Genomic DNA, 13,254 nt, shown 5'->3' on the forward strand with positions numbered 1-13,254 from the left:
ATTTGTTTCATCACTAAAAAAAATCATATGACTGCCCTGTTAACTCCCCAGCTAATGAACTTCAAATGAGAGAATGAATATCAAAGAACTTTAAAATCTATAACGAATTGTGTAACTATTTCTTCTTTCTTTCTTTCTCTCTCTCTCTTTCTCTCTTTCTTTCTTTCTTTATTTTTCTTTCATTTATTTGTTTTTTAGAGATGAGGGGGCCTCTATTGCCCAGGCCAGAGTGCAGTGGCACAATCATAGCTCACTGCAGCTCTAACTCCTGAGCTCATGCAATCCTCCAGCCTCAGCCTCCTAGGTAGCTGTGACTACAGGCTCATATTTGTATATATCTTATACACTCAAAACTGCTTTAGTTATAGGGCTCATCTGGAGTCTCTTTTCAGGCAATTGTTTCCTCCTTGCAATTTAGGGTTTTGTTTCCAACCATGGCACCTTTGTCTTCCAACTGGTATCATACCATGGTTCCCCACACTATGGATAAGCATGTGGTAAGTATGATGTCCATCTTACGCATAACACAGAGCAATTCAAATTTTATGGTGTTCTTTGATTAACATGACTATTATTTACAATAAGAAGTATAAATAAGATGCATCTGCATATGTTGCCTGAGTAAACAATCTCACCTTAGTCATTATAGTTTGCTTGCACCAGTGCCTCGGCCTCCCCTTGCAAGCCTCCCTGCCACGTTGGGATCCTCCCTGCGGGGGTATCATACCATGGTAATATGGGTTAAGTTAAAGAAGAATGGGTCTTAGCAGGCTGCAATTTTCTTTGGATAAATGGCTCATTTTTCACATGGCAGTAGATTCCTCTGTGACACATGGAAGACAGCAGGTGAATGTGAATGAGAAAGGTCACTTTGTTCAAAGTAGGAAAAATAGCTATGATAAGAATTTCATAACAATCCATCATATTTATCCATATAAATGTGGGTAGTGCAAAGTCAATATTAAAATGAAACACTTCCTGTTGGATATCTAGGGAAAAAGAAAAATACCTTTTCTCTGAGATCAATCCAGCCATCTTTGGTGCCCATTTAGTTCTCATTACAATAGACAAAGTATTGTGGACTTATTTTAGTTGTATGCTGTAAATGTTGTGGGTACACTTTTTGGAGAAAATCTATTTATCTAAAGATATTCTATAATAATAGGTTTGATTATATGTGTGTGTGTGTGTGTGTGTGTGTGTGTGCATGCGTGTGTTTGGTTTTATTACTTTTGAAAAGGTTATTAACTTCTTTACTCCTAGGGTTTGGGCCAAATCACATAGACACTTGACTAAATGGTAAATTCTGTTTTTTTAAAAAACTTTTTTCTAGTCCTATACACTAGCACTATTGTAACAACAACAACAAAATCAGAAAGCTCAGTAATAAATTATTTGATAAAGCCTCACCTTGACTCTTTCTTTCTTCAATTGCTCTGGGGTCCATTTCAGTTTGGATTTCCTAATATCATTATCTCTGGAGTCTAATCTGAGAAGAGATAAAGGAAGAAATCCCTGGTTAGAGAACAATGAGGCCCTATAAATACACCAAGGCACTCTCAAGCCTCTCAACAGGACTATCTTCCTGAGAAAAAGCCATCAAATGTTGCAATTTCTCATATGGTTTATACCAGAGCTGCCTAGGATGTCAATTTAGATGGACTGTTTGGCTATATGGTTGTTATGAATAGACTACAGGGTTTTACTGACAATTGTAAACACTACAACATACCACAGGGCCCCTTTGTCCCTTCTTTTTAGTTCATATATCATTTCTATACATATCAGTCTCTTTCCAACAACAAACATTTAGCAAGTATTTTTTAATATGTTTTATGTGCCAGGTAGTGTGCTGGCACTGAAAATACAATGATAAATAAGATAAACCAGGTGCCATCACTATGGAGCATCTTAATCTGGCATGAGAAGAAACAAACAAAGATAATAACTGGTTGTGATAAAGAGTTTGAGAGAAATTTAAAAGGTGGCTTAAGTAAATAAAGGAGTCAAGGAAACTTTTCTGAGAAGGTAATATTTGAGCTGATTCTTAAAAGAATAGGAAACTCATGCGGCTGGCTTGTGGTGTTGTGGCATGAAATGGAAGTAGGAGATACAGGCATGGCTGATTATATAAAGTCTTATAGACCATGGAAGAAAGGTTTGATTTTATTGTTAGCACAGCAGAAAGCCACTGAAGGGTTATGGAGGGATTTACCTTTTTATAATGTCAAAATATAAAACTGGAAGAGACCATACTGATCATTTTCTTTAAATATCTTATTAAAGAGATAATGACAATAAAGCCTAGAGAGTTACAATGACAAGTGGAGCAAGTCAATAGCAGAGTGGAGCCTGAACTTGGGTCTCTGGGCTCTAGAGAGAGGCAGGAAATGAAAAAGTAAATATCAAGAAGGAGTAAGGGAAGTTTTTTTTTTTCATCAAGAGTATGGAATACTCATGGAATAAACATTATATAGGTCATTTATTCTAAATGAAGAAAATGATCAGGCAAAGAAACAGCCAAAGGACTTAGAAGGTCCAGAAAACTGTGCACTTTCTCTCTGGCACAGGCAAGATGGAACGTTTGGGTATTTTTAGGTCATCATCCTCAAAATATAAGAAACATGTTCCCAGTTGATCCTAATCTGCCCTGATAATCCACTATGATTGTAATTAATAAGTTTTGTGCTATCTATGCTCATTTTCAGCCACTACCTCTTATTATTCACTTCTAAAGTTTGCTATATTTTATAATTCGAGTGATATTAAATAGGACTCTGTATGTTTTCTTTAATTTCTTGAGCTTAGTTATTCTCAAACATGTTTCTGAACACAAAAATACATGTATAACAATGACAATTACTGTTTAATATTTGTTGAAAGCTACAGTCAACCAAGTGCCAAGTGAAATATATATAGTTGATTGTTTCTCGCATTCTAAAGAGAATAAGGTTTAATTTAGAAGAAATTTGTTTGTTTGTTTCTATATAGCCCTTTATGCTTTCAGCATGTTGGACAATCATGTTCATTAGTTATTTCTCAAATAATACATATAAGTACTTTAGTACTCTACACATATTTTAGAAATGATAAAATAGACTAACGGGGACTAGAGTTCCTGGCATATGAGTATAGGATGTCATCTACCCAAAAATCCCTGAGACAGACTAGGATTTTCTGAAGTCAGGAACAACCTTGGTTCTGTGAATGATGTCTTAACACCCTAGGAAAAGCAAGCTTTCTACACATCTGCACAGCAATTATTCACAACTTCTGACACATCCTTTTCTGGGGAGTAATCTGGGAAACAGACAATCCTTATTCCTGTTATCTTGACAAATCTGTGTGTTTTATTTCTGGGCCAATGAAGTAGCTAAATGGGATATGTAAAATTTGTACATTTTTGATAGTAAAGTTCATGCCATTAGGACAATGAGTTAGTCATGTCATGACTTATTTGGTCTCTCTTTCTCTTTATTTATAAACATTCTGCAGGCCCTTAAGTTGATTCATAACCAATCAAGATTATTACTATTGCAACTGCTTGTTGTGCAATAAGAAATCAGGAAAAAGTACAATCCTAATTACAAGAAAAAAGCAATTCTGATGACATCCTAGATAGCAATTAAAGCAACAAAGTGACTATTAAATTATTATAAAATGTATGCTATAAACCTAAAATCTAGTACTTTATTCACTGACCTAATTATAGCAATTCCAGAATATTATCCCACAGATACAATCATATAAGTGTACACAGATATATATATATAAGAATTTTTCACTGTAGATTTTTATATAAATAAAATACTAAAATCTTAAATAACCTTCAATAAAGGAATAATTAAATAATAGTACATTCATAAAATTGAATATTGTGCAGTCATCTTAAAAATAGAGACTTTGAAAATGTCCAAGATACATTTTTATTGAATAGCAAAGTATTATACATGGTATGACTAAACACACACGCACGCACACACAGTATAATTTTCATAGCAAAATATTAAAAGAGTTTCTCACTAAGTGATAGGATTATAAGGGAGACTCAGATAAACATTACTTTTACTCCATAAAAAGAAAGAGATTCTATGCCAAAACCCTACTATGGAAAAATTAGGAGATTCAGAAAGAGAGAAGAAAGAAAACAGAGGAGAAAAAATTGATCAAACAAATAATACGAAAAAATTTCCCACAACTGAAGAACACACATTTCTAGAGTGATAAGTATCCAACAAGTGCTCAACACAGTATATGAGACCTTTATCAAAGCATGTTATAGAACAATTTCAAAACATTGGGGATAAAAGGATGATTTCTCAAGCTTCAAGGGGAAAATACAGTGTACTTACTTACAAAAAATCAGAATTTAGAAATTTAGAATGGTGTTGCAGTTCTTAAAACAACACTGGCAGCTAGAAGACATTGCTTTCAAAATTCTGAAGAAAGATTATTTCCAACCTCGAATTCTATGCATAGCAAATCAAATGTGACAGTTGTATAAAGATATTTTCAGACATGTAAGAACTCAAAAAATTAACCTCTCATGTGCCCTTTTTCCAAAAGCTACCAGAGGGTATGCACCACCAAAGCAGAGGAATAAACCAGGAAAGAGAAAGACATGCGGTCCAAGAAATGAATCTGCGCAGGAGAGAAAATAAGAAAATTCCCAGAATGATGGTAAAGATTAACAGGTCTGTTAATTTCTTTAAAAGTTTACTTCAGACCAGACCAATTTCCTTTAGAATTTTTGCCTAATAGGGAAATTATGTCATCAACCAAATGGCATTTACTTTGCTGCCAGATGTATATTCTTTGAATGTTTTATTCTATGGTGAGAGAACTAAGGATTGGAAATGGAAAATAGTCTATGCTTAGAGTTACCTTCTGCTTTTCTGGTTTGAAACTGCAAGTCCTTTAATGGCAAAGCTGAGGATCTTCCCATGCTAGTACAAATTTATCCCTAACATTGAAAAATCAAAACTGAGTGTTTTGTCTTGTTTTCTGAACTGAATGACAATCATGCTCATTGTTTTTAACTGTGTATGTTGGGGAGGGGGCAGCGTTCAGAAAAAGAAACAATGCTTGATAAACAGTACTTTCTCTGGCTAGGGTCTACAAAAACTGTTCTTCAATTTTCAGCTGTAACAAATGAATTTTAAAATGTAAACAAACATATGGATGTATATTTATGTGTATATGTAATTCACACACATATATGTGTATATATGTGTGTACACGTGTGTATATATATATATGTGTGTACACGTGTGTATATATAGATGTGTGTGTGTATATATATACACATATGTGTATATATGTGTGTGTATATATATACACATATGTGTATATATATATATATACACATATGTATACACTCAAAAAACAGCAATCTGACAGTCAGTGAGCTACAGAGAGAATAGCCAAATGATCTCCCCTCATAGATTTTACTGTCAATGGGAAAAGTGGTAATACATTATTATAAGCTTGACGAGTATACTAAAAGAGGAAGAGCAAATAACAAAATGATTTAACCTAATCTAATCATAAATGCAGAACCTATTGCTATTCACAGCTGTCTCTTTAACTAACATATCTACTTATGGAAATAGCATGCCATGAGTCAGCAAACAGCGCTACAAATTTTATCTACTTTCACTGCCTAGTTTAACCATGCAGTGTGTCTCAAAGTAAACATATTGACCATTCAGAAATACAATATTTGTACTCACTTCTGGGTGACTGTGCTTTTCACTCCATGTAGGTACAGCCTAAGACCCATCACTTTCCTTATGCATGTTTAAAATAATCAAGCCTAGAATTCTACACCTAGCCAATCAAAGAATCAAACCAGTACACAAAAATCTTTCCATACGTCTAATTGCAACAACCCAGATTTATCTGTCTCTCTTGATATCTCACATTTCACAGTTATGCTGCCTCATCATTATAATTTGTGGTTGCATATCCATTTGAATAATACGTGATAGAATAAACCTTCTTAGTATGACTGACATTAGGTAGAATTATTTATTAAGCCAGATTCTGCTAATTGTTCCATTTAAGAAAGGTATTCTGAGGGATGTGGCAATTTTATAATGGACAGTATGTAGTCTGACTTACTGCAAACTATAAACCAAAAGACTTTTAAAGATGTGATAATTAATATAAACAAAAATTGTGATAGTACTGACCATCTCTTCTGTCTCAGAAAATGTTAATTGACTCCAAATGTTAAAATCAGTTATGAAAACCAGAGAGATTATTTGAGAATAAAGACTTGGGACTGCCTTCATAAATTTCAACTCAAAAAAATTTTGAAATTTCTTGTCTCAAGATTTTCTATTTCCATCAATGACTTTGATATCCAAGCTAGAACTTAGGAAGAAAAGAATAAGGCTAAGGTAGTCCTTCAAATTAATGAAATACATGAAACAGTTATTTCTCAGAATAGTTAAGGTGTCACTACTGTAATTGTATAATGACAGACACTTTGTTTTCATCTTAAAGCTATCATCCTGAATGAATGAATGAATGAATGAATGAGTTCCCAGGGTAGTCAGATAGCAGACTAGTTACCCTAATCATTGTCTCAATCAAAAAAGAACACTTTTTTTTTTAACGTACTGCTGTGCTGACTCAAAAGGAAGAATTATGCTGAAGTCAAAGTGAAACCTAGGAGATAAGTCAACACCAAAGTCAGCCTCACCCTGAGACATTTTGTGAAATCCTGGAGATTTCAGCTTCTGCAATGATAACTGTGTGGATATGAAACGGGAATCAACAGATAAAGCCTAGCTGCCCAAGGTGTGGAATACAAAAGAAAACCCCTCATAAAGATGAGACTCAAAGGTGTAAGGGTAAATAGGAAAGAAACATCAAATCAAATGAAAGCCAAACAATACAAAGAACAATGTACAGAAGGAACAGCAAAAAAAATAAAAAATAAAACTTGCTGATCTCGACCTTGATACTGAATAGAATGGAAAAAAAAAATCTCCCCTAAGAATACTCATTTATAACCACAAGCTGGTTCCTCCCAGGAATTTATAGTCCAAATTCATACTACCTGCATGGCCAGAAAATATCTTGAACAAAGAATATAATTTAAAGTGCTTCAAGGCTGGAAGTGGCTCTAGGCAACTGGCAAATCCTCTTTATAATAAGGCAACATCAACTCAGGTGCAAAGAATTCTCACAGATAAAAATAAAACTCAAGGTAAAACTATCAATCTCATCAATTCCAAAATACACATATTTTCAGGTTATACATCTCTGAAATTGAAGTGAATTTCACAATTCAAGTATTTAATAATGTATATCAAACTGGCAGTAGTTGGAATATAGCTGTGATTCCTTATTCATGTATGAATACCAAAAAGTCCAACATCAAATTTTATAGAAAGAGAGTCAGAGACTTGGAAGAAAATCCTACAGGCAATAGTAAAACACTCTTTTAACCCTTCCAAACTGAATGGTTGTACAGGGGGAAGTATGGAATAAGAGTATTTCTGAAAATTCCCAAAGCAGAAATAAATAGATGAGTTATTCGTGAAGTACTTCTAGCTAAGTTGAATCTCAACTACTTTATAGTATTTGTTGCTTTTATGAATAATTTCTTATTTCTAATATCAATGTTAACCTAGCTAACAAGCACAGCAACAATGACTTTTAGTTATTTTATGGATTTTTTAAAAAATTTTGACTTTACTAACATTCCTGATGACCAAATTATAATACTGTGTGAGAAAGCATACAGTTTTACCACTGTTACATAAAAAGTTATCGAGAAGAGTTATCCTCTTAATATAAAGAATTTTGGAAGACCTTAACCATTTGTTCATCAGGATTTTCTTTGTATTATGCATATAATATATAATAGAAACCTGTGTCTAATTAACTCTAAATGAATATGCTTTCAATAAAAATGTAAAATAAAAATTCAGAAGAAAGTACAGGGTCACAGTTTAATTGTGCTGCATTTTTCCTAGGAAGTGGTACATAAAATAAGAATAAATCTTACAGTCAATGAGGTCTTAAACTTCCTCATGAAATGTGATGGTATTGGAGATCCTGATTCACATGATAAAGAAATAGAAAGAAATATGATGTATATCAGTCAGGGTCCAGTCAGGAAACAGAGCCCATGCCAAAAAGTTCAAAGAGGGAGTTTAATATAAAGACAAATAGCAAAGGTATTGGAATAGCTGACAAGCCAAACAGCAGGAAGGTTTGGGAGGACGTAAGAGCAGGAAGCTTCTACCACTTCTAGGGCAGAAGGTACCAATGGAAGAGAGTGTCATGCAGCAGCAGGATTTCTTTATAAGATACCTAAATTTATGACCTAGGAATTATGCTCCTATTTATATATCCCACCTATGTCCAAGGGATGATTAATTCCAAGGGTATTAATACAAAGGGGTTCCTCTGAAGGGAAAAATATATATATTCAGGGAAGGTATATGTCAGGCCTATAAGGTACTGGTAATCCTATAGTATTTCTCAAGCTGAGGAGTTTGCGAGATAAACGCATGTTGGGTATAAGAATGACTGACTCATACTCCTTGCTATATAGTATTTCAGTTATAAATGTACCAGAATTTATTCATTTTTTCAACTGTTGATGGATGTATAGAGAAAAATAACCTATCCATACTTACAGGTCAAAGCATATGGAAATATATCTTTCTGTGCTTTTGAAGGTACCTACCACTGAGATCATCTGACAGGGAAAAATGCCTTAAATATAATTATCGTAGGGAGGAAATAAAAGAAGCAAATTTTGAGCTTTTCTAAAATCCACAGAAATTACAGTTTACTTTTAGTTTTGTTTATTTGTTATTGTTGTTGTTGTTTAAGAGCGACTCAGCTCACAGGCATAGCAAAATCACCTCACTACTAATTCAAAGAAATTTAAGATAAGGTGAAAGAAAATTTGCAAAACATTGAGAGTGCCATCGTTTCACCACTGAATTGACAAATGGCTTTCCAAGCCTAATGTTCATTAAGTTTTGGAAATAAATCTTCTCTAGACAAATTTTTAAACCTGTATGAGGAACTGCTCAAATCTGAGGAGGAGTACACACAGAAATGTGATAAAGAGTAAAAGTCAACAGAAAACCTAGTACATCTCCATAGAAAAAGAATGTTTCACTTATTTAAGAGTATTATTCTTTTTCTTTACAAAAACATGTTAAGGCCAGGGGAATTTACACTGTTTTTTAAAAGTAAAATTGAGTCATTTATAAGCCTCTGATCACACTGGTATATGATTTCAACTTCAAACACTTCAACTAAGATGTAGAAAAAATAATGCAAATAAAGGTATGTGCATTATTTTTTCTACATCTCAGTTGAAGTGTTTAACTTTTCTTTCTGCTACCTATATAGTGAAATATGAAGAAAGTTAAACTAGAAGTATAAAGAAACACACTTTATTGAGAAGAAAGATTAATTTTTTTGAAAAAATCATTATATCATCTTACATAATACTGGACCTTAACTTTTGTTTGGTGGAAAAGTAAGTAGTACAATTTGGTGTAAATGGCATATATGTTCTGAAGATAACACTAGAAAAGTAATTTCAAGTAAAATTGGAAATGGCTTGCTATACAAAGGATTTTAAACTTTACATAGATGAATTGTGGGAACAACTGGAATTTAGGAGCAGGGTTATAAAGTTACATGATTAAAATTGTAGTTTTAGGGGGATACATTGGCAGCAGTGTATAGGGAATTCATGGAAGAGGTACAGAATAGAGAGAAGAATGGAAGAGGATAGAGAAAGGGTGGCCTGTTAGTTTACCTTACCTAAAGTGAGAAGTAATAAGGCCTGAAATAGGACAGCAGCAGCGGGAATAGAGACAATGAAAATATGCCAATTATATATGTAGTCTTATATCATCATTACATATACCATGGACTAAGCAAATATCTAGTTACTATCCTACATGATATGACCTCCTCAAACATTTCCAGGCAATAAGTTATTTTGTCTAAATTCTCCCAAAGTTAATTGAATAAATATTTCCTATAATGGCAAAAATATATGTTAACCAGCATCAAAGATAGATGAGTAATACTCTATTTGCTCCTGAGAAGTTGGTAGTCTAATGGAAGGAATGTTCTATATGCAACTGAATAATAGAAGACAGGTGGGAAAAGATGCTGTAGCATAATATTTATTATTTCTGAGGCTTATGTTTAAACTTCCATGACATATTTTATACCTGTATGCTGTACATGCATTTCTCTGGAAGGAAACACAAATAACTGATAACAGCTATTATCGCTGAGGAAGGAATTTGGTGGCTGGTGAAGGGTTGGAGAGAGACTTGCTTTTCACCATATATTATTTCATAACATTTGAATTTTGGACCATCTGAATGTATTATTTATTTTTAAATGTTTTTAAATATATGATTCTTTAAATTCTTTCTTGTAGAAAAGTATTAGCACTTTAAAAACATAGCACATTCTATAAATGAGAGGTAATTATTATAATTTTTATTTATTTAATCATTGAATGTTTTATTTCAATCTTTGTTATTTCCCATTCATAGTTAAATACATTTTTTTCAAGGTGAAGAAACAAAGTTGATTTACTCAAAGTTTGAAATTATGCTCAACTCTAAGGTATATTTTATAAAAAATTACCAAATTAAGGAGAGTAAAATTCCAAGAATCTCAGTGTCTAAGAGCTGGTCTAGTCTCCAGCACTTATAGCTTTATGTCCATGGCATAGTCCTTTACACTCTCTGAGCCATAGATTACCTATCTATAAATTGTATAAAATGGGGGAAGTAACACATGCCCTGTTTATTTTATAAGATCATGTGTGGTAATATCCATAATAATACATACAGTGTATATAAAGTGGCTAAAAATGCACACAGTTACAGAACTCAAGTATGTGAACATGAAACTTCATTTACTTTTCTAAAACTAAACAGAATCTAGATTTCTAGTTCTACAGTTTCACTGATGGCATAAAACTTAATCTTGCTAATTCAATTGCTTTCAGATTTTTCTTAACTTCAGTTCTTCATTCTCACTCTTCCCCTTCTTCTTACATCTGGTTCAGAGTGATTAAAGAAGCTAGTGATGAAAGGAGATGATCTAAGTTCTTGGAGAAGGTGAAGGAAGGGACATATATAAATATGATTTTAGTATCAGAGAGATATTGTACATGTGATCCAAAAACTATCCTTTGTCTTCACTGGCCTCTGCTTAGTTATACCCCATGTCATTTGGTCTTCTTCAAAGGTGGGCTGGCAACTTTGATGTCTGCCTGCTCACCATGACACCTGATCGTTAGGTCTATCCATGTATTCTATGTCCATGTCTGATATCAGACTCCTGTCAGCAATTTAGAGCCCCCTACAACCACGCTAACATGCAGAGAAATCCTGGGCAGCTTTACCACACCAAGCAGGAATGCTTGTGACTCAGTGAGGCTGCCTATCCTGCCAAACCCCTCAGCCAATACTCTCTTCCCTATCAGCACCATGCTACACTGATCTCTAGGACAGTTGCCAGAAAATCACGACCCAGATTTCCTGTATTCTGGGCCCAATCAAACTTACCTGTGTTTTTATCAATCCTCTTAACTTGGAGGGGGCAGGATACAAGAGTCCCATATCCTCATTGTGTATAAGAATGCAAACCCAAAACTAACTCTCATTTTCATCTTTTTATTTTATCTCAATATCAATTTCATCTTCTCTGTCAGTGGTAACCAACTCTTATGCTAAATTCCATGCTGAGTCCACAGTCTTTTAGACTTTTGACATTCAATCCCTCCCCCTTTTTTCCACAAAAATTCCAGGCACCTGCCTTGGCCTTCAAGATTATTGTCATAAGTTAAACAAGAAAATGTAGGTATTCATTAAAACTGTACACAAATTTCATTTCTTTTAGAAATATGGTACCATTAAACTTAGTCACCCATTTCGATATTAGGCCTAACATGTGGCCTACTTTGGCCAATGAGATGCAAAAGGAAGTAACATGCCACTTCTGGGCAGGAATAAGACCTGGTGTGCATTTTGCTGTGCTCCATTTCAACAGCCTTAATTATAGAAGCATGTTGAGATGGAGCTTCTATCAAACTGGATCCCTGATTGCAATAAGCAGATCTCCCCATCAGTTCACGTTCAACATCTAGTATGAACAAGAAATAAGCTTTTTCTGGATTAAGCCACTGAAATTTGAGGGATTTTTATTACTGTAGCATAATCTAGACTATTCCAATTGGAAAACTTAATTTAATCTGGATTTATACCCCTACTGAGGCTATAGATACTACTGATAAAGAGCCACAGGGCAAAAAAAAATGTGTAGCAAAAAAAATCTTCAGTTGTTTGGAAATATCACTTATTTGTATGTTTAAGGTATTATGATCAGTCACATTATTTTGGCAGGTATAAACTTCACTGTATAGGAAGAAGGTGCTCATTTATAAAGGAAAGTTGAAACTTGTTCACTAGGCTGAAGACCTAGGCTGGTAGTTAGAGGTGAATAACTAAGGGGAATTTAAGCTGAGCTAGGGAGAAAGAGTAAGAGCAGAACCTTCAAAATAAAGTAACAGTAGATGGGACACAATGCTTGAGTAATGCTAGAGGGACATTATGCTGCATTATAAATCCTCTCTGAAAAATATGAAGAAGAGTCTATGCTTCTCCCTTATTAACATAAGACATTTGAATTAATGATGGCTATTTAATTATTGTCATTCAGTCCCAAATTTATTCCTTTATACATTGTTTTGTGAAGATGGATTCTGCAATCTACATTTCCCAGATTCCCATTCCAGCTGAACACTGGCTATGGGACTTGTGATGGTTACTATTGAATGTCAACTTGATTGGATTGAAGGATGCAAGGTATTGTTCCTGGGTGTGTCTGTGAGGGTGTTGCCAAAGGAGATGAACATTTGAGTCAGTGGGCTGGGAGAGACAAGCCCACCTTCAATCTGGATGGGCACCATCTAATCAGCTGCCAGCACAGCTAAGATACAAGCAGGTAGAGGAATGTGGAACGACTAGACTGTGAGTCTTCCAGCCTTCATCTTTCTCCTGTGCTGGGTGCTTTCTGCCCTAGGACATCAGACTCCAAGTTCTTCAGCTTTTGGACTCTTGGACCTTCGACCACAGACTGAAGGCTGCACTGTCGGCTTCCCTACTTTGGAGCTTCCTTGCTCCTCAGCTTGCAGACGGCCTATTGTCGGACTTCACCTTGCGGTCCTGTGAGTCA

General features: G+C 34.4%; 1 protein-coding gene across 1 annotated transcript in view; it reads right to left on the reverse strand.

Annotated features, from left to right (window-relative positions):
• Window positions 1–362: 362 nt before the first annotated feature.
• The window catches only part of LOC105373146 (uncharacterized), a 74,604-nt gene continuing 61,712 nt past the window's right edge, over window positions 363–13,254 (reverse strand). Inside the window, exons 2-3 of the mRNA XM_047442707.1 lie at window positions 1,411–1,489; window positions 363–710 (exon numbers count right to left, since the gene is read on the reverse strand). Coding sequence (XP_047298663.1) covers window positions 576–710; window positions 1,411–1,489 — 214 coding nt within the window. The 3' untranslated portion in view covers window positions 363–575. The remainder of the gene's footprint in view (window positions 711–1,410; window positions 1,490–13,254) is intronic.

The sequence above is a fragment of the Homo sapiens genome, chromosome X (genome assembly GCF_000001405.40).
Source record: "Homo sapiens chromosome X, GRCh38.p14 Primary Assembly".
NCBI lineage: Eukaryota > Metazoa > Chordata > Mammalia > Primates > Hominidae > Homo > Homo sapiens.